Source organism: Homo sapiens, chromosome 7 (genome assembly GCF_000001405.40).
Source record: "Homo sapiens chromosome 7, GRCh38.p14 Primary Assembly".
NCBI lineage: Eukaryota > Metazoa > Chordata > Mammalia > Primates > Hominidae > Homo > Homo sapiens.
In genome coordinates, this window is record NC_000007.14 from 22,281,727 (window position 1) to 22,304,250 (window position 22,524).

General features: G+C 39.1%; 1 protein-coding gene and 1 pseudogene across 2 annotated transcripts in view; one reads left to right on the plus strand and one right to left on the minus strand.

Moving 5' to 3' along the window:
* RAPGEF5 (Rap guanine nucleotide exchange factor 5) overlaps nucleotides 1–22,524 on the minus strand; it is a 238,919-nt gene that overhangs the window by 163,491 nt on the left and 52,904 nt on the right. For both annotated transcript variants that reach the window (NM_012294.5, XM_017012837.3), the window contains one exon: nucleotides 9,449–9,515. In NM_012294.5, coding sequence (NP_036426.4) covers nucleotides 9,449–9,515 — 67 coding nt within the window. The remainder of the gene's footprint in view (nucleotides 1–9,448; nucleotides 9,516–22,524) is intronic.
* Nucleotides 16,868–16,980, plus strand: RNA5SP227 (RNA, 5S ribosomal pseudogene 227; annotated as a pseudogene).

Consider the following 22,524-nt stretch of genomic DNA (forward strand, 5'->3'; position numbering starts at 1 on the left):
TTCCTGGGTTAACTTATGAACCTCATTCTCCTTCGCTATTCTAACACATCTGACAAAGATGTTACTACATAAAGCTTCTTATAGCACATTCCAATCCTCTCAGGAGCCTCACTGGCTATTTCTGTCTACCACATAAAATCTTAACCTCTCCCTCTGCAATTCTAGACCTTAGTAGACACTTCGCTCTGCCCACCGGATACACAGATTCTTTATTACTGCCTTCTATGCATCACAGACTTCTGCTGAACAGAAATGATGGCCATTCCTCAAACATATCCCATCTTGGCTCTTTCACTCATGCTATTCTTTCTAATTAGATTGCTATTAATATTTTCTATTCATTCATACTCTCCTTTATATTCAACATATCATTCAAGCCATTCCCCCCTCTCCAGCGGACCTATTTTAAAACCGTAACTGAGCACAATGACTTTTTACTTTGACCTCCACAGTACTTTGTATTCACCACAGAGAACCTTTACAGCTATTCACCTCTACATGGTAAGCTCCTTGCACACATGGACCAAGCTGTATTTTTTTTCCTCTGAATTCACACAATGGAATCACAAAACCTGATAACCAGTCTGAATAAACTTCTAAACTGCTAAATCATTTAGCCATGTTTACCACTATTTTATAATTTCTAATAGGTTAAAAATTAAAATGCTATTTAATATAATTCCATGGGCATCATTTCATAAAATCCTTCAAATTAGGAGAGAATTCCACAATCACATTCCCTACCCAACCTGTTAAAATCTATTCAGTAAATATAAAATGTTTTAAGTGATGATAATGTGGAAAACTGTGTTTTCAACCCACATAGATATTATTTTTAATATGGACTCTTAAATAATTAATAACGCCTGTCTCAAATGCTTCATCTCTCCAATGCAATGGTAATACACCCTGTCATGTGAGACTGAAATGTGACAATGTACGACAAAAAGTATCAAAATGCCTGTGCAAGGTAAGAACTCAACAAATATTAGCCATTCTTAGCCTCTTACCCATTTCTCACTTGGTCTAATGCATTAATGCAGGATAATGCATTAACAACTGCAAACAAGTCTCTTCAAAGGTTTCCCCACAAAGAAGTTCATCTCTGAGCTGTTCATAACAGCAAAAGAGTGAAAATAAAATCACAATGTTCAAAATAGAAGAAAATGATTTTAAATCTGTGTAATGGAATACTATAGAATCACTAAATATGTTGTGGCCAGTGCTTTTAGCTCCAAGAACATATTAAATAAAAAGTATAGAACACAAAATAAAATATTTAGGGTTTTTCTGCAAAAAAAAAATATTCTGTAAAAAAATACACACACACACACACACACACACGCATGAAAAATAACCTAGCAAGTAATAATAATTTATTTCTGGGTCATTTCATTATAGGCACTTTTCTAATCTGCATTTAGAAAAATGATAAAGTCTTTATATTCAAGTTAAATAATACAAATGTCAACTAAACAAAAAGGAAACTGCAAAGCATAATCCACAGTACTGTTATTTCACTGTCAGACTTCTCATTTGACATTTACAAACACAGGAAATGAATTCACACTATTTCCACCCAGTATCCACATAAAGTGTCATTATAATTTTTACAACAATATAAAATAACAGAAACTAATTTAAAATTTGTCTTATTCCATCACCACCAAAAAATTCAAGTAATTTTCACTGTTTTATATGCCTCCTGGTTCTCCTCTATATATGGGCACACCATACAAAGCTATAACACTGACAGAAGTATGCAAAACTTACATTTCATCTAAAGCAGCTATAAGAAGTTCTATTTTAAAGAAATGCACAAAGAAGAAGCCAAATATGAAACATTCATGGATCATCCTTTTAAAGCTCCGTCGGCTTCTTTCAGAGAAGATTTCACATTAACACTTCACAAACCCATGACTCTCAATATCCAAATTGAGAGTCAAATGGTATATTTCTATTTCTTGTCAATAAAAAGTCTATATTTTCCATGGGTATTGCATATCAAAGTGATTTTCATCTCAGAAACAGATATTCAAATATCATAACATACATGTATGCAAACATGCACAATCCTCTTTCCCTATTCCTAAGAGATTCATTGAGACATTTTACCCTTAAATGAGTTCTGCACATTTACATCTTTCTGAACACATAAAGATAAATTTCCCCCTGCCCTGCATTGCTTCATTTCAATAGGCAATCCAGTATGTATCATCCTGCTTACCAAAACCAAACTCTCAGGGCTAGAGTTAAAAATTAAGTTACCACACAATCTGGGTAGATTTTGATAGTTTCTTTGGAATTAGAGATGATGGCTTAGTAATTAATTTTAAAAAGCTGTGTGTGTGTGTGTGTGTGTGCGCGTGCATGTGGCAACCTGTATATTATGGTATTTGGGGATCTATTACCAGGACGAAGATACGTAATAGACAGAACATATAAGAATTTTTTATTGACAAGCAATAGAAATATACTATTCAGCAATCTATTCAGGTATTGACAGGTATAGGTTTGTGACGTGTTACTCTGAGATCCTACCAAAGGATACAGAAGGAGCTTTAGCCAGCATTCCACGTGGTCCTACAGACTGACAGTCCATAGCCCAAGGCCCATTGGATGAGGACAGATTGAAACACAAGAAGAGAACGTAGTATCAAGTCCTATGGCTCCGTATAAACCACAGAAAAAAGTTGCTACCAGAATATGCTACAATTCCACTGGTGCTTCCTTAATGCCCCTTGGAACTAGATCCGTCTTCTCCGGTCTCACTTGACACTTTCCCTCAAAACTCAATCTGCCTGGCCCTTCCCCAAATCATATAGTAGCTCTTAAGCCACTGGAAGGACTGGAGCCAGCCTAAGGATTCCAAGTAGGAATTTTATGTTCCCTAGAAATAAGAAATAAAAGGTAACAAGATGTTCATGATCCTGTGGCAGCCAGAAAGAAGGCTTGTCATTCACTGGGGGTGTAACTTTTATTCTTTGAATAGCCATGTCTGATCAGGCTGCGATAGTCTAAGGGAAGGGATTACCTACACTCCATTTCTGCATTCTCCAGGAAGAAAAAGGCAGATAGCCAGGAAAAAGGGTGAATAGAAACCCATTTTTTTGCATTTTTAGAAAAACATATTTCTAAATGTGATAGAAATTCATCACTCAATTGTGCTTATCACATACAGATGATCCTTGACTTATGATGGGGTTACATCCCAATAAACCCATCATAAATTAAAATGATTGTAAGTCAAAAATTTGTTTAATATACCTAAGCTACCAAACATCTTAGTTTAGCCTAGCCTGCCTTAAACGTGCCAGAACGCTCACATCAGCCTACAGCTGGGCTAACTCATTTGGCAACACAGAGCACCGTGGAGTACCAGTCGTTTATCCTAGTGACCATGCAGCTGACCGGGAGCCGCGGCTCACAGCTGCTGCCCAGCATCTCGAGAGGGTATCCTACCATATATTGCTAGCCTAGGAAAAAATCAAAATTCAAAATTTGAAGTACAGTTTCTACCAAATGTGTCTCATTTTTATAGCACCACAAAGTTGAAAAATCGTTACATCAGACCATCATGGTCAGGACCATCTGTATTCAACATGACAAATCCCCCCAACTTTCATTCAACGAAGATTACCCCCAGATCTTGCTGACTTGGCACACAATCTCTTAAACAAGTCTCTAAACCTCTCTTTTTAAAGATTCATCAAAACCCAAACCTCATGCTATTACTGAACCAGTATCAATTTAAAAGTTTCCAATCAAAGAAGTTGTCAATGTTATTCAGCTACTGAACAACAAATTCCTGTCCAAAATAACAATTCTTGTTCAAAGATGAATTTCTCCAATATATCAAATCCAAATTGTAGAGTCACCAAGAAGGACAAACTAAAGGAATCCTTGTCATTTTATAACCTCTCTGGATGAAGAAAGGCTGTAGATAGAGTACTGTGAAAGATACACCCTTCAAAGAAAATGACTGAAGTTTCAGGTGAAAGATGAGACAGGACTTGACTGGCAAGTAAGATTTTAGTCCAGTGGTATTTCTCAGAGGAGGGATACCTGAAACCCTTATGAAAAGCCCTTATGAAAAGGAATTTAGAAAACACCACTAAATGCATCCAAGGCAGAGATCCCACAAGAAAGTTGGATGAACCAAAGAAAATGAGCCAGAAGACAGAGAAGAACCATACAAATAGAAACATCTAAATGGATAAAAGTTATAAACTGGGTGAGTTCTGTCATGGAACACAAGGGTGTAAGAGTGCCCAGTTACATGATCCAAGAGTATCAAGTGTTTTTCTCAACCCCATGGATCTCTCTTCCTAAATTCTGAACACCCAATTTGTAATTTTAATTTATCTCTTAAGAGAGAGACATCAGTAGCGCAATGGATAACGCGTCTGACTACGGATCAGAAGAGAGAGACATAAATTCCCCCCCACCACCACCGGGTTAATGTTTTATTCCAGACACTCAGACTCTCTTCTCTTTCACCACCCATGTGATGGCTGACTTCATCCAATCTAGCAGCATAGAGGACACATGACATGCTCCCTGTCCCTTTATAAGGACCTCCCACATACCCATCTTACCAAATAGGCATCTAATATAAATAATGCACAACTTAGCCTAACTCACATCACCTCAGGTGTTTGACAATTAGACTATGAACAAAAGTCACAAATTTCATTCAAACCCAGATGAGATGTTTGTCTTTTCTATTTCTACAATTTCCAACATAAAAACTTAGCCTTAAAAAACAGAAACAACCTAATAGGTTTTGTTCTGGTTGTTGATTTTAAGTAAATATGAGATGGAAGTCTAGAATACGTTTTTATCTCCTATTTAAGAATGTTCATGTTTCTATTTCCTGTCTTTGGATGCTTCCCAAGTACTTCTCAGATCTTTTAAATGCTTCAAAGTTTAGCTGATTTCCTAAATTTACATCCTTAAGAATTGTGGCTTTGAAAGTAATACATAATTCACCATAAACACTTCCCCGTATTTACTTTAGGTTTGAGCAAGCAGACCCCTGGGTTGTAATATGAATATTTTAAATTTGTCTGATCAATTCTGAATACTCTATTTGTCACAAACACTGGAAGAATTCATGTTTAAAAATAAAACAATGCTCAGAACTTCAAGGGTGGAAACTGATGAGCTGTGTCATTCAAAGGCCCTTCTTGGCCTGCCAGCTTTATCACAGCAACAGAGACTTGCAGTCGATGAAAAGAGGTTTCCAAGTTAACAAAATGTGTAGCACCAGAGGATATTAGAAAGGAGGCTAAGCTGATAAGTTAGAATGCGGAAAGTCACACTGCTTCCAGATAATTCCTAGAGTGTTTTTGTAGACTTTATGTAATGGAAAGGGTCCATTACAGCCATGTCCTTTTTCCTTAAGCTGAAAACTTCTTACAGAGTTTCACTGTTTAGGTTTCTGTATGTCTGACACTTGGAAAGATGGCTCTTCCCTGAAGACCACTAGAAACATGGCTGGAACAATTTAATTGCTCATGTTTATGTACATTTAACAACCCTACATTTGACTGAATTATAAAGACATTCTTATTTCTACACATGCACCATCTTCTCATGTTCCTTCAATATGAAAACTCATGTGTATCCTCTTCCAGAGTAAAATTTCAGATAATATATTTTTAGATGACAGGACTTTTCCTCCTGATGAACCTAAGAGGGAACCAGGAACTACTGGGGTTAAAGAAATGAGAAATTTTCTAAGATAGTCACATGCAAAAATACCACATTTGAATAAAAATGGTGAATATACAAGAGGGCACGGTTGACTGTACTGCTGGAAACCACTGTCCCATTCCAATACCCCCAAAAACACAGACTCTCAAAGAGTACACTGGCAACTCTGCATTACAGACGTCACTTCTGCTTTCCTTTATCATGATTAGGGGTCACAGTAGATGAGAACTGTTCCCTGAGTGATATAGGTAAATATCTTTCTGCACACACTATCACCTAGATAACAAAGTTTATATGCCATTGTCAACAGGAACAACTATGTTATGAAGAGGTAGACTGAGTCCCACTGTCCATTAACAAATGCTTCTAGAATGAACAATGGAATTTTAGAACTTGAAGGAACTTAGCAACTGTCTAGTCCAACCACTCATCTTGGCCAAGGTCACATTGTTGGAAGAAATAAGAATCAAGGCCCTTAATCTCAGTACAGGATATTTTCAATTTTGCAGGCCGATTGCCCACCAGTTGAAGAGATGAAATCTTCCTCTCTGCCATTTATTTTCGTTTCTAAATACCACTCCAGCATCTTACCTCATTTTCTTCAGTCTTTTAGCCTGGGGATTTTTCCAGCAAGATTATGTCAACTAAATCCACAGTGAACACTTTGCTGCCCATTCCTTCCTTTTCAGAGGGTCTTTTGAATGTGACCTTCATGGTATAAACCATTCAGTTATTTCCATTTCCTCTCACTGTCCTCTAGTCTCCCTACTGCCCTCCGCCTATGGCTGTTCCCCAGACTCTATCTTCTACTCGGGTCTTCAATCTGCAACTTCTCTGTGACTGGCTTCCAGAAGCTCTCTGAGCTTCAGACTCTTGTCTCCAGATGTTTCCTGCATATTTCTGTTCTTATCTCCTCAAATGCAACATATCCCCCAAAATCACCTACCTTACTGCATAATTTACTCAACTTCCTAAGAATATCATCATGTCCCCAATCATGCAAGTTCAGAACTTCAGTTATCTCACTCCTCCACCTTTACCCACTCATACTGATTTTTTAAAAATCAATTTCTTTTCTTTTCTTTTTTTTTTTTTTGAGACGGAGTCTCGCTCTTTCGCCCAGGCCAGACTGCAGTGGCGCTATCTCAGCTCACTGCAAGCTCTGCCTCCCAGGTTCACACCATTCTCCTGCCTCAGCCTCCCGAGTAGCTGGGACTACAGGTGCCCGCCACCACGCCCAGCTAATTTTTTGTATTTTTAGTAGAGATGGGGTTTCACCGTGTTAGCCAGGATGGTCTCAATCTTAAAAAAATCAATTTCTTTGTGTTCGTTTTTGAAGTCATCTTTCTTTTGGTTCCCACAAAAACCACCATAAACTAGGTTTTCAACAGCCTCTAACCAATCTCCCTATCTTCAACTTATCTTCACTCTTGAACATCTATTTCATCACATTAATCTGTTGTTCAAAAAAATCTTTCATTTTTCTTAACCAGGACCTTCTTCTCTAACTTGGTGGGTCTACTTACATTTTTTCATTGTACTTTCTCATTCCTATGCTTGCCCACAATAAATTCCACAGCTAGAATACACATCCTCCTAATTATCATCTCCAAATCCTGACTGTTTTCAATGGTGGTTCAAGTCCAGTGTCTGCAGTGAAGCTTTCTGTTGTGGTCTTGAATTTACGACTTTACTTATTCACCACCTTTCTTTGTGCACAATTTCCAACTCCTTTATATATTAGCCTTCTGAATATATCTGTCTTATCTTCTTGGTGTGGCTATAGGAACCAAATCATACATGTCTTTATCACTTCTGAAACTATCCCAATAACTACATTACATTATTTATTATATATTTTTAAATGAGGCATAGTAGGAGAATATTGGAGATAAAAATTCTGAGTTCTGACTCTTGTTTTGTTCTTTCTTGCTGAATGACCTTAGGCAAGCTACTCAAACTCTGTAAGCTTTCGTATCTATAAAATAGACATAATACCACCTACTTCATAGTGCTGTTGTACAGTACAGCTTAGCAGAATGTGTATGTATGTGTGTGTACACACAAACACACAACGTTTAACACAGTTTCTGGCCCATAGTGAATGCTTTTTAAACAGATGGCTAATTATAATTATGCACACCACAGGCACTCCTTTGTGGTCAATATTTTAAACCGAAAAGTTCTAAATATGTTTTCAAAATATGCTGTCAAGATTCCATCTCATGTTTTTTACACCATTGATTATCATATTGATATGATTAGGCTTTGAGTCCCATCCAAATCTCATCTTGGATTGTAATCCCCAGGTGTTTAGGGAGAGATCTGGGGGGAAGTGATTGTATCACGGGGGCAGTTTCCCATGCTGTTCTAATGATAGTGAGTGAGTTCTCACAAGATCTGATGGTTTTATAAGTGTGTGACACTTCCTCCTACCCACTCTCACTCTCTCTCTCTCCTGCTGCCATGCAAGACGTACCTGGTTCCCCTTCCAACAGGATTGTAAGTTTCCTGAGGCCTCCCCAAACATGTGGAACTGTAAGTCAATTAATCCTCTTTCCTTTATAAATTACCCAGTCTCAGGTAGTTCTTTAAAGCAGTGTGACAACAAATGAACACACATATTTAATACAAAATTACTTTTCTAAGCTGCATTCCAGAAGAGTAGGAAAGACACTTTCAATCTTCAAGCTGTGCCCAGTTGACAAGACCTAGTGTATAAAACTCTGTACAGACCAGTTTCATCCTTACACATAACCCAATCAACCATGATTTTCAGCAATTACCATTTTAATAATGGAGTTAAAGCAGAACTAAATAATTTTTGGGGAAGGCTAGAAAAGTTTCCAAACAGCCAAGTCAATAGGTACAAGTTTGGTGACGTAGGATTGCTAGAGCCTGTCAAAAACTGAAACTCAAGGCTTAGTGACCACAGTCAGCTTTTCCTATGAAGAAAGCCATGAACTTTACTTCAACCAATTACAAAGTCTAATCAATAGCTTTAAAAACCACAATGAAAGGCCGGGCGCGGTGGCTCACGCCTGTAATCCCAGCACTTTGGGAGGCTGAGGCGGGCGGATCACAAGGTCAGGAGATCGAGACCATCCCGGCTAAAACGGTGAAACCCCGTCTCTACTAAAAATACAAAAAATTAGCCGGGCGTAGTGGCGGGCGCCTGTAGTCCCAGCTACTTGGGAGGCTGAGGCAGGAGAATGGCGTGAACCCGGGAGGCGGAGCTTGCAGTGAGCCGAGATCCCGCCGCTGCACTCCAGCCTGGGCGACAGAGCGAGACTCCGTCTCAAAAAAAAAAAAAAAAAAACCACAATGAAAATGTTGCAATATGGTACATTAAAAACTAGTGACCCGGCCTTTTTTGGCTGAAGTAATTCTTTTTTTTCCCTAATGAAAGAGTCTTTTCTCCTTTGTGCAGCAGGTCACAACTTTCCTAGGTTAACGCATACTGTATTTAAAAAATCAGATACTACACCTCCACCTCCACAAAGGTTGCAGGAACTTTCCACCAGAAATATCTATGATCTCATGAAGGGAGGCTCCATCCCCATATAGAAAGTCAAAGCCACTGTCTCCCTCTGCCTTGCCTCATACCTCCCACAATGATGAGCAGCCACAGGGAAAATGTCTCTCTACACCATCACCCAAAGAACTTCCCTTCTAGGACCCCAGCTTCATTATTTCTGCACCCCTAGGCAGGAAAATTGCATGGTCTTACCGCAGATGTTAGACGCACAAGAATTTCATCACTGCTTTCTTCGGAGTCTTCAATTTTCTGATGAGACCTAAAAAAAAAAAAAAGAACAAATTACTTTTCAGTTTTAGTTGCTCAAATTTATCTACCAAGTTAGGAAGAATAAAGGGCAAATAATGTCATTGTTATTATATTAGCAAAAGTACTCATGAAAATAACAAAGGTTGTGACAGTAACTCCATAGGAACATAATCCTCTTGCAGGCCAAATGTTCTCACAAAATCAATTAGCAAGAACCTCTTTACAATGCACCAATTGAATCCTGACGATGGGGTATTACTCACCCCATGATACAGCAGAATAACCCTGACATGCCAGTTGTAAAATATATGGGCTTGCACAGAAGGTAGATGCAAATAAAAGGTGGTTAAGTGCTGAAATTTCCTAAATCTAAATGGAATCCAGATTTTGAAAATATGAAATGTGAACTTTCCACTGAAATTGAGTTTTAGCCAAAACAAACTTACTATAAAACGGTATTATTATAGGCCTAATACCACTATGGGAATTATGAGGAATATAAAAACGCAGAAGTTTTGTATGGCTTTGTATTTGCTTTCTCAAGAGATTACCGCCCAACTAAGAAGCTAAGAATATTATGCACGTGTTAAATAACTAATGAGATGTGTAACAATGTAAGATCAGTTTGTTTGTTTGTTTGTTTGGGGAAAACAATCTTTTTAACTTAATTCATGAAAAAAGACTTCACCAAATGTATATTCTAACAGACAAAATTATCTACTTCTTAAGAACAATCTCATAAACTACATTTTTTCCTAGTTTGGTCAAAGAAAAAAACTGACTAATGCTATTGAATATATAAAATTGTCTCCAAGATCTATTTCCACAAGCAATCCCTTTCAATGTATGCTGTGGACAGGGGGCGGAGGGGGGATTGGAGGTCACTGCCCTGCAGAGCAGTATTAACAGCATCACAGTCCAGTGATTGATTTCAATCTCAGTAACTACAGTGTGTCAGCTGCAACGCCAGCCTTATGGGGCAGGAGGGCTTCTCCCAGCTCATGGGACAGCTGAGAAGCAGCTCTTTAAGAAGGGAAAAGCCAGTTGGATCACTTCTGGCATTGCCTTCTTGTTTCTGTAAATGTTATTAAACCCTTTTCCAGAAAGAAAGTCCCACCCTTCAAATCACAGCAATGCACTACAAACCACTGCCTTTACAAAAATTGCAAGATACAGGTATGAAGCAGTGCTGATGTTGTCAAATAACTTAAGCGCTCATGCAGCAAAGTGTTTGAGATGCTTGCTAACAATCTGCCCAATAAAAACTGTGGGAACTGAGCATTATAACTTGGGATCTTTTTTTAATAAGGTTACCTGGATGATGAGTATTTTGAACAAGCTTTATTATTAAGATTCTCTATTCACAAGGCTTCTGTGGTTATACTGAGAACAGACTGGAAACGCTTTATAACCTCAACCACCAAACCAGATTTATGTGATTAAGCTGAGGTGACTGAAAAGACAGGAAATTAAGAACCAAAGGCACTAGAGGCAAGAGAACAAAACAAGGGCTTCTGCTGCTTTGTCTGTGTCTGTAGTGACACATGGGCTGGTTGTGCCTTTTCATGTTTCTCAGACCCCAACAGACACCCGAAGTATTAGTTAACGAGCATGAGGTATTTTGCACTAGCACAGATTCTCTCATAAATCTGTTTTCAACAAGCTGCTGAAAGGAACTCAAAATTCCAAGAGAAGCTCTTGTATACGAGACTGGTAACTAACGGTTGAGCTGCTGCTGTTTTAGTGACAAACAATTTAGTCCCTGTTTGGAAGCAAAACTGTCTTTCATTGATCTTCCAGCACAAACCATGCCTTAGCAAAAACATCTCTTAAGGAAATATGTGTAAGAGGGACAGAGTGATGATCTCCCAAGAGCTGTCCCACAGCCCATATCCCACTGTTATCACCTCAATCACCAAGATTTAAGCCCAGAACTCCCAAGTATCTCTCTAGCTTCTGGCTCTCCCCTGAGCTTGCCCTGTTTTTCCATCTGCCTTCAAAGTGGCTCTGTGTGGCAATTCCAGGAACTTTATTTTCACCCACATGGGTACCTTACAGGCTAACTCAACCTAACTCACACTGAACTCCTCTCTTACCTCCTGCCCTCAGCTCTCCCCTTGGAATCATGGGTCCTGTTCACCCTAGAGCCATCCCTTCCCTCCTCACTCCGGCCTTTGGGAAGTCACCAGATCCTCTCACTTCCCTTCCTTCCCTGCCAAGCCTCTTCGACAGTCTAGGCTCTCATCTTCGCTTGAACAAATTATTTTAACCACCTTCTGACAAGCTTGTCTCTGGCTTCTCTTCTTGTACCCAGATGCCTAAAGATATCAGGATCACCTTTCTAAAACCCAGATCTGGTCCTGCTCTTCTCCAGACTCCAAACCTTCAAGGATTTTCCTCACTTGCCCACTGAGAGCTCTAGAATTCGGAAATGCTCTTCCTTCCCTGCTAACATGCCCCATGCCCCGCTGCACCAGCACGCAACTGTCCCTCACCTGGTGTAAAGGAAGGTCATGAAGGCAGGACTGGTAGCAACAGGCAACAGCGGGAGAGCCTGAAAAGGGGGAAAGAAGAGAGAAGGCAATACTCGGCCACTCTCCTTTCTTTCACCACTACGGTCACTTTTTACCTTAAACCTCCTCCTCAGCTCTAGACTAAATCGCCCAAAAATACCAGACTCTCTTTTCTCCAGCAAATGTACCTTTTACAAAATTTAAACACATTCTGTTTTAATGTGTGTAAATACTTTTCAGTGCAACCCAGGAAAGACAAAGTTCTCACTTATCCAATCAAAATAAATAAGGAAACAGATGCAGCAGAGGAAAAGCAAGTATAACACTTGCATGTTTTCCATTATTACTAAAGGGGGCTGTGCTGCTCGTGAATGAGAGAGAGAGAGAGACAGAGAGAGAGAAGCTGTGGGTCTAGTTTGTCAGTGATTAGAGAAAGAAAATAAAGAAACTCTTACTGGAATCAGCAGGTAATGACAGTGACAAGTGACATAAGACAGAAAGAGAAGAGAAATAGAGTGACCCCTGGAAGGAAGATCCCTCCCTGAGGGTTTATGCCAACAGATGCTCTCCTTTAGGAATTCCCTGGGTTACCTTTCAAGGTCTCTGCTTACCAATGCCCCAAGCCAGACCTGGTAACTCTCCAGGGGAGAGTGCTGAGTCCTGGTGCTCTAGGCAGATGTCTCTGTAAGTTCAAGAGGTCTGCAATATCTAAGGGTGTCACTGTGAGGATGCAGAGATGACAAAAACCTATGGTCCTCCACCCTCATCCCTCTAACCATCAAACTGGATGCATTATCATTATGTCCACTCCTACCCAAAAGGAAAATAACAAAAAGCCCTGCCCTTCCTATAGTCTTCCTCACCTTAATTGATGGAAACTCCATCCTTCCAACTGGAAGTCATTCTTGAACCCCTTTCTCTCATACTCTGCCTTGTATCCACCCTGAAATCCTACTGGCTCTTCAAGACATATCTCTCACCTGACCACGTCTCACCACCTCCATCACTGCCACTGTGGTCCCAGCCACAACATCTCTCACCTGGACTCAGAAGCCAGCATAGTCTTGCTAAAATGTAAGTTAGTTCATGTCCCTCTACTCAAAATCCTTGAATGACTTCCCGTCTCACTTAGCATAAAGCCAAAATCTTTTTATACTTAAAAATATGTAATTAACAAAGATATCTATTCAAGGTGTGCCACATGATTATTTGTGAATACACTGTGATTAGCACAATCAAATTTATTAACACCCATCACCACTCATGCTGTACATTAGACCTCCAGAACTTGCTCAATTTAATAAATGAAAGTTTGTATGCTTTGATCAACATCTCCCCATTTCCCCTACCCATGATGTCTATATTCTAGACAAGTAAGTTTTGCTTAACAAAGCAAATTCCTATGAAAAAAGAAGTGGGATGGTGGAAGAATGAGAATTAGATTTTTCTTGAGATCTTTGATATCATGAATACAAACATTGTTCACCTTCTCAAGAGAAGATAATTTTTCATAGCTTCTGGCTACTAGTTATGCTTATAGAAAAAATGTACTAAAAGGGAATTATGAATGGGAAAGGTTTCATTAAGAGTCCAGAGTGTATAGTTATATATTAATCTAAACTGAATAAAATTAGATTTTTCACATTTGATTTTGAGGATTTGAGTATTAATGTTTAATATTTAATTAGATGGCTCAATTTCAAATGCTAATATAATCAGGCCTAGATGTCCAATTTTTGCAAAATTCCTGTACTACTCTTAAACATAAGTGTACTCTGATAAAGATAAGCAATCTGTTCCCACACCTGGAATAAGCCTTGTCTATAAACAATGGAAATTTTGAAGGACTTAGTGTTTCCTTGGGAGAGGAGGTAATGAGTAATCACAAAGACTAGGACTAGCTGATTTCATAACACTTTTTACAAAAACAGTTTAAAGTAATAAGTGGAAATTTTGTTCACTTACGATGCCAATACAAATCTTATGCCAAGTTCCATCACAAAAATTTTTTGAAAAATACTAAAAAAAAAAAAGTTTGTTTACCCACACGGTATTTCCTCCTCTCCAAGTGTCATGAGGATCTAATTAGGAAAAGTAAAGTTAGGAGTACAAAGGGTAGGCTTCAGACATCGGAATAGCAGACTTGAACTTAAGCTCTCTGGCCAGAGAGTGTGAATCCATCACCATTTCAGAAACTAAGGAGGCCAAGGGATGTCTCATGTTGCTAATAAACATCAGGTAGTAAGAAAAAACCAGGCAGGGTAAGGAGAACAAAGGAGGCAGAAGTGAGGGGTGGTGGAGGTGCTATTTTGTATAGGGTGGTAAGAGGAGACAGGGACCTGAATTTTGGAAACCATCACTGTGAGACGATGTTAAGTACATGACTGGGTGAGGGCACATCCAAAGTGAGAGCAGAAAAAATAAGAGAAGTCCAAGACTGACCTCTACTGTGTTTAGAGGTCACTGCTTCAAAATGAAGGTTTCATTATTTAGGGACAGCCAGTCTGAATAATCTGAGGCAAACAGCTCAAGAGATGACTGGCATTAAAAAGACAGTTTTTTACTCACAGTTCCCAAGAGAAGGGGGGATGACACACAAGGAGGAGCCACACAGGGAGGCACCAGTGTCAGTCAGGAGGCAGAGGACATGGGGGAAGATGTGGGAAATAACCTCTATTGTGATTTCCCCAGAATAGAACGGGTAAGGCAGGGTAAACAGGCTGAGGATAGACTGTTTGATTAACTTCAGCAGGACCAAAAGCATAGGGACTGCCCCTAACTGTTTGGTACCTGGAGCTGGGGTGATTAGGGCAGGTGAAAAGTAGCCCAGAAGGTGAAAGCCCAATAAAAAAAAGTGGTTATGTTATGAGCTCTGGAGTGGCTGGCTTACCTATGAAAGGTATGCTCCCAGCAAAGCTAGCAGGTAAGTTCTCTACTGTCTCTAGGAATGGACTATTCCTGGGTTGGGCAGTCTTTCCAGGGTCAGCAAGGCCCCAGATGTCAAAGCACTGAAACACAGTTAATACAATCAGGAAAAGGAAAGATTAGCAAAGGAGCCTTAAAAGCAGCAGCTAGTGAGACAGAAGAGCCAAGAGATGTTATCCCAGGGGCCAAGTGGAAAAACTGCTTCCAGGACATGATCAATTGTGCCAAATGCTGCTGTCATGTCAAGTAAGATGAGGACTGAAAAATCAGCATTTTGGCATTTGGCAACATGGAAGACTTCTGTAATCTTGACAAGGTTGCCTTCAGTGGAGTGGTACTGTTGAAAGCCTGAATGGAGTAGATTCAGAAAAGAATAGAAGAGGTAGAGAAAGTAACCATAAATATATCTTTTGAAGAGTTTTGCTGTAAAAGGGAACAGAGACATTGTGCAGCAGCTAGAGGGAGATATAGGGAAATATCAACACATGCTGAAAAGAACAATCCAGTAGAGGAAAAAGCTGATGAAGCAGGAAAAAAATGAGATTTCAGAAATGAGATCCTTGAGTAGGGGTGCAGAGATGGGATCAGTGCACAATGTGAGGAAACTGACCTTAAATAAGAATGTGGACCATGCATCCATTTTTATCAGGAGCAAAGATAGAGTCCACCAATATAGATGCAGGCAGGTTGACAGATTTGGTAAATAAAACATGAGAAAGATAGTTTTTAAAATGTTCCTTTCAATGAAATAAAAAGCAAGGAAAAAGAGGTAAGAGGGGAGCAATTGTGATACAGTTTTCTAGGAGACTGAATATACCAAGAAATGAACAGGACCACCCCACAGCATTGAAGACCCACTCAAGATTAAAGGCCATGAATATAAAATGAGACTGATCATCCTTAGACTCCTTAACGAACCACCTCTTCCATCTACCTTTAAAATCTGACAGAACAAGACGCTAGATGGCCATGGCCAGTGATGGCTGAAGAGAGAGGAAGTATTAATCCTGTGATTTTTTTTATGTATATAACTATGTCATCTGCAAGGAGAGATGGCTTTATGTTTTCCTCCAAATATATGCCTTTTATCTCTTTTTCTTGACTTTTTGCACTGGCCTGAGTGGAAGAGGTGTACTAAGAGAAGACATATTAGCCTTGTTCTGATCTTAGTAGGCAAGCATTTAGTCTCTTACCATTAAGTATGATGCAAGCTATGGGTTTTGTATAAAGTCTTATCAGATTGAGGAAGTTCTCTTATATTTCTATTTTTCTGAGAATTTTTATCTTGAAGGGTTAAATTTTCTCTAATTCTTTGTCTGCATCTATAAAATTTATCATATAATTTGTCTATTTTTAGCTTGTGAATATGGTGAATTATATTGAATGATTTTTGAGTGTTGAGCCATCCTTGTATTCCTAGGGTAAACTCCCCTTTTTCATAACGTATTTATAATTTTTATATGTGAGGAAGATTGTGTCTATGCTAATGAGTCATATTGTTCTGTTTTTTGTTTTTTTTTTTTTTGAGACGGAGTTTCACTCTTGTTGCCCAGGCTGGAGTGCAATGGCGTGATCTTGGCTCACTGCAACCTCTGCCACCCCAGTTCAAGCGATTCTCCTGCTTCAGTCTCCCGAGTAGGTGGGATTACAGCCATGCACCACCACGCCTGGCTAATTTTTTCATATTTTAGTAGAGATGGGGTTTCTCCATATTGGTCAGGCTGGTCTCAAACTTCTGTCCTCACGTGATCCGCCCGCCTCAGACTCCCAAAGTGTAGGGATTACAGGCATGAGCCACCGCGCCCGGCCTTACTGTTTTCTTTCTCTGAAATTTGTCATGACAGTGCTGGCCTCATAAAATGAATGTGAAACAGTCACTCCTCTTTAATTTTCTGAAAGAGGTTATATAGAAATGACATAATTTGTCTATGGTCATACAACCCTGAAGGTGCCTGATCTTGTCCTATCTTAGAGGCTAAGCAGGATTGGGCCTGGTTCGTACTTGGATAGGAGAAATGACATAAGTTATTTTTTAAATGTTTAGTTAAATCTGCCAGTAAACTTATGTAAGCCCATTGTTTCCTTGTTTGAAGGGCATCAACTACAAATTCAATTACTTTAGTATACATAATTCTATTCAGATTCTTGTTGAAGGACCATAGGTAGTTAATGTCTTTCAAAGAATGTGTCCATTCCACCTAAGTTTTCAAATTAATGATCACATAGTTGTTCATAATATTCATTTGTTAGCTTTCAAATGTAAGTCTGCAGTGATATTCCTTCTTTTATTCCTGATATTGGCAATTTGTCTTTTTGTTTTCTTCAACACTCTGGTGAGAGATTTCGTACCTTTTTTTTTTTTTTCAAAGAACCAACTTAGTTTCATTATTTTTTTTTCTAATTTCTTTTCACTTACATCAATTTTTGTTATCTTTATTAATTCCTTCTTTGTAGTTTGTTTTTCTTTGGCTAGCTTTCTGAGGTGGAAGCCCTGATCATTGATCTAAGACATTTATTCTTTCCTAATATAAGCATTAAAATCTATCGATATTCCTCTAAGTATTGCTTTAGCTGCATCCCATAATTTTGAGCATGTTATGTTTTAATGTACATTCTATACTAAATATTCCTTATTTCCTTTGGGACTTCCTCTTTCACCCATGAGTTACTTCAAAGTATGATGATTTCCAAATAGTAGATTTTACAAATATCATTTTACCTTTAAATATATTATTGTATATGCCTCTTTATCCTTCCCCAATTATCTTTTGTTATAATCATAATATGTATTACATCTACATACACTGAAAAGCCCACCAAATGTTTCCTTTCAATAGTCATATATATTTTAAAGAAATAAAAATAAAAAATGCCTTTGATTTTTATCTAAATATCTACCACTTATGTAGCTTTTCCTTTATTCCTGAATTTCCAACTTTCCCTCTGATATTGTTTCTATTCAACCTGAAATTTTTCCTTTAGATTTCTTTTAGAAACAGTCAGCTAGCAAAAAATTCTGTTAGTTTTCCTTCATCTGAGAATGTCTATTTCACCTCCATTTTTAAAATCTGTTTTCATTGTAGAGGATTGACAGTTCTTTCTCCCCCCTCCACCCTCCCCCACCTTAAAGACTTTCTTCCACTGGCTTCTGGCCTCCATGGTTTCTAACATAAAACCTCTAATTATTTGAATCATTACTCCTCCTGTAGGTAATGTGTCATTTTACTCTAGCTGCCTCCATGATATTTTCATTATTTGTTTCTTAGTTGTTTTTAAGTATCTAGGAGTGTGTTTCTCTGAGTGCTCCTGTTTGGGGTTCACTGGACCTCTTGAATCTACAGATTTGTCTCTCACTCAATTTGGGAAGCTTTTCGTCATTATTTAAAAGTTTTTTTTCTGCACCAATCTCTTTGTCCTCTCCTGGGATGCCAACATGTGTTAGACTTTACTACAGTGTCCACCAAGTCCCTGAGACTATTCATCTTCTTCAATGTTTTTTTTCTTGTCCTGCACACTGGATAATTTATAATGAGCTATCTTCAGGTCACGTCTATTTTGCTATTGAGCCAATTCAACAAATTTTTAATTTCAAGTATGTTTTTCAGTTCTAAAACTACATTTGGTTCTTTTTTTATTGTTTGTTTTCTATTTCTTGACTAACAACTTCTATCCCTCTATTCATTTGAAACTTGTTTACCTAATGGGGCATAGTTAAAATAGCTGTTATCAAGTCTTTAATAATTTCAATATCTGAGTCATCTCAGGGTAGACATTAATTGCTTTTCCTTTGACAAATGGTCATATTTTCCTGATTATTTTGTGTCAAGTAATTCTGTATTATATCCTGGCCATTTTGAACATAATGCTATACAGCCTCAATGATTCCAGCTGCAGTTCAGTTTTCAATGCCTTTTCTATGGTACCTTGGGTCTGTCCCGCAGATGTCCAGCTCAGGAAACTCACATTTGTGTAGTTCATACACAAAATTAATGAAACCCTTCCCTAGGTTTACCCTCTCCTGGATTCCCCTACACTCTCAGACTAGCTGGGGCTCCTCTGCCCAGTTCTGACCAAAACCAAACACTCCTTGTCTATCATCTGCCTGCACTGCCACCACCACAGAGCTCTGAACCTGGGACAAACCTGTAAGAAAAAAGGAGAATCAAGACAAGGATTTCTCCATCCACCCCACCCCATCACACTCTTCAAAACTACAGGGACCCATTTTCCTGATTCTTCTTGCCAGAAAGATGGGGTTTCTACTATAGATTTTGACAACTGTGCCACCACTGATCTCCCTGTCTACATCTGAGGCCTGCCTTTGAGGCAACGCTGGGAAATAAAAGAAACGGAAAGGGAAAACTCACACCTGTGTAGGTCACTTCTCCAAAGTTTCACTTCGTTCCATAATTTGCCTGCTTTTGTTTACTTTTGAGGGGCCTCGGGTAGTTATTGTTTGTATTTTATCTAGAGGTTTCAGCTGTAATCAATACAAGAGATAGGCTGTAGTAGACTTGCTCCATCTTGGCCTGAACCTGTAGCTCCATCAATAGATTATTCTTCATAAGACTCTTCAGTGGAATTCGTTATTATCTTGCCATAGTTAACGTCTCATAAACAAGAGGCCAAAAAGTCAAGGTTTGCAGCAAAAAAATTAAGAGTAGGGCCAGGCGTGGTGGCTCACGCCTGTAATCTCCGAACTTTGGGAGGCCAAGGCGGGTGGATCACAAGGTCAGGAGATCGAGACCATCCTGGCTAACACAGTGAAACCCCATCTCTACTAAAAATACAAAAAATTAGCTGGGCGTGGTGGCGGGCGCCTGTAGTCCCAGCTACTTGAGAGGCTGCGGCAGGAGAATGGCGTGAACCCGGGAGGCGGAGCTTGCAGTAAGCCGAGATCGTGCCACTGCACTCCAGTCTGGGTGGCAGAGTGAGACTCTGTCTCAAAAAAAAAAAAAAAAAAAAAATTAAGAGTAGATAGGCCGAAAATATGCATTTCAGTTCTATTGTTAAATGTAATAAGATAATGAAAATGTAGAAAACACAAAAGACAGGAATAACCTATAACAAAAACTAATTTTCAATAGTTGGGAAGAGCTGAATATTCCACACAGTAATTACAGATTTTTTTATGAATTTAGAAATGAACTGTATGACATATTTTCATTTCTCAGGAAATAATTTTGGTTTTTTTCCCACAGCTTCAGAACCTTTGTGATAAGCTCCCAGGTATCACTTGTGGCACACGACTTGCCAGCTTGTTATCTGTATGAACTGAGCTCAACCCCTGTTAGTCGCTGAAGGCCTTACATTATTTACATATCGTCATATCCCTCACAAGGCCAAACACGGAAGCTTAAGATCAGTAGATGCCTGGTAAGTAAGTCGCTCCACAGAGTGCTGGTGACAAGTGGTTGTCTTTTCCCAGACCCTCTGCTCCCTGTTCATCTTCCTCACCTAAACATTAAGAGAAGCAAATTCCACGATCTTGTAATCCCTTTTGGATACAAATATGTATGAAGCTAAATTTGTGGACTTTTCAGAAGTGTCAGCCAAGTGGCGACAGGCAGCATGTTTGGTAAAATCTTTCTATCACAGTAATATTAGCCAGTCAGGACAGAGAGGGGGCTGTTTCAGCAGAAGCCATGTGGCTGAACAGGGTGTATATGGGAGCCACAGCCAGACCTTAGGAGTGTCAGCAATGCCAACAGACATCTAGGAAGGCCAATCAGCCAGGCAGGACCACCAGCATTAATCAAGCTGACACCCAACTTACACCAGCCTCATGCTCCAACAGCAGATGCCAAAAGAATGCCAAGAACAGTTATATCTCAGGGGCACAAAGGAGCTGGCTGCCTATCCACTCGCAAGACCAGTGAGGATGAAAAAATGCCTACTCTGACAGGAGAGCCTCCCCTGTCCTCCTCTGCCAAGGTCAAGGCGCCCAGACCACTCGCCATGTACCCAGAGGCTACCTTGAGAAACAGGGAGAAATACAGAGACTGGGCTCTTTTACTAAAAGACACTAAAAAGTTAACTAGAGAGACTTTTTAAATTCCTGTATTAGAATAACTTTACTAAAGGGTGCTTCTTCCCCCCACCCCACCCCCGCCTTTTTTTTTTTTGGTCATTCTGCAGGATGGCAGTTCATGTAGACAAACATCAGATCACTTAGAGAAAAACAAAGAAGCTACATTTTCTTTCCATATTTGAGTGCAATATGAGTTAAATTTTAGCAGTCCTCTCTATCTTAATCACAGCATAAATGTTAACTATTGTGTAAGTGGTAGGATACAGTTTTATGCATTCAAGCTTTACAGACTGTCTATTCAAAGCCCTACCCACTCCCACCCCTGGCAAGCTGGGAGCTGCTATAACCACAGCTGAATTGAAATAGTCAAGTTCCCTCACAGCCTAAAGGCCCAAACAAGGTAGTGTTAGAAGCATCTTACCAGTCCCAAGGGAATAATTAGACTGCCTTTTCCTACGCTGTTATTTCATCATTCCTCACCCATTCTTCCTCAACTCTCTGCTTAAAATAAAAGAGCTAGAAACAGTACATTCTGGATAACTTGATTTGGCTGTCTGTTGGAAGGAGATACCATAACTGTTCTTTTTTCCCCCAGAGATAGTACCCTTGACAACTGATTCAGTCACTTTTTTTTTCTAATTATCTATTCAGTTTGGGTATAAAAGTTATTTTGTATAAAATTCTGTTTCTTCAAACTAGCTTAGAAAACTTCCAACAGCTTCATTTCCCCTCCTGCTTTAAAGATTCTTTTTTAAATGAGAAAAATCCCCTTTACTATTTTTAGAAATGCATTTGTATGGAACAAAATTGTGTTTACATAGAGCCATTAAATGGTTTCCTTGCATTATTTTGAAGACACTTAGAAGACAGCAAATTAGAGGGGCCTAATGTAGATAGGCTCACACAGGTAGGTATCAGTAGCCTTTAAACGTCAAAAAGGTTATTAAAAGGAACACAAAATTGGGTTTTCAGCAAATGAATGGACAATGTAAGAATCAAGAGGGCACTTGAATAAAATGGATAGAAACAAAGCATCATAGAACTAAGAATGACATGGAAGCATGGAATTTTTTTAAATACAAAATGCAAGAGCAGTAAGTTACTGAAAGCAGTAGCAACATGGACTGGAGACATCATGGAAGTTTTGTGGTCAAGGCAGGACTGGGGCTTCCCCTTGAGGGCTGGGTAGAATTTGACTGGAAAAAGGCAAGAAGAGCAGAGGAAAGAGCAAGAGTATCACACTGGCATGAGGAAGTAAAGAGGGGTGGGCCAGGGGTGAAAAGAATGGGATAGGATCATGCATGTGCAACCATAGAAAGTACTGGGACAGAGCAACTGAATGAGGACAATGTCCATGGACATCTTTTCTCTGATCACAGTATATTCCAAGTCTAGATAAGCCAAAGCTTAGATCTCCAAAATTAGGCCAAAAACATTCTACCATAACATAAAAGTTGGCTTATGATGGTAGTATTGAAAAAAAAAAGGTATATACTGTCTCTCTCTAGAAGAGACCTGCAATGGTTTAATAATTTTATCTTTATATATTT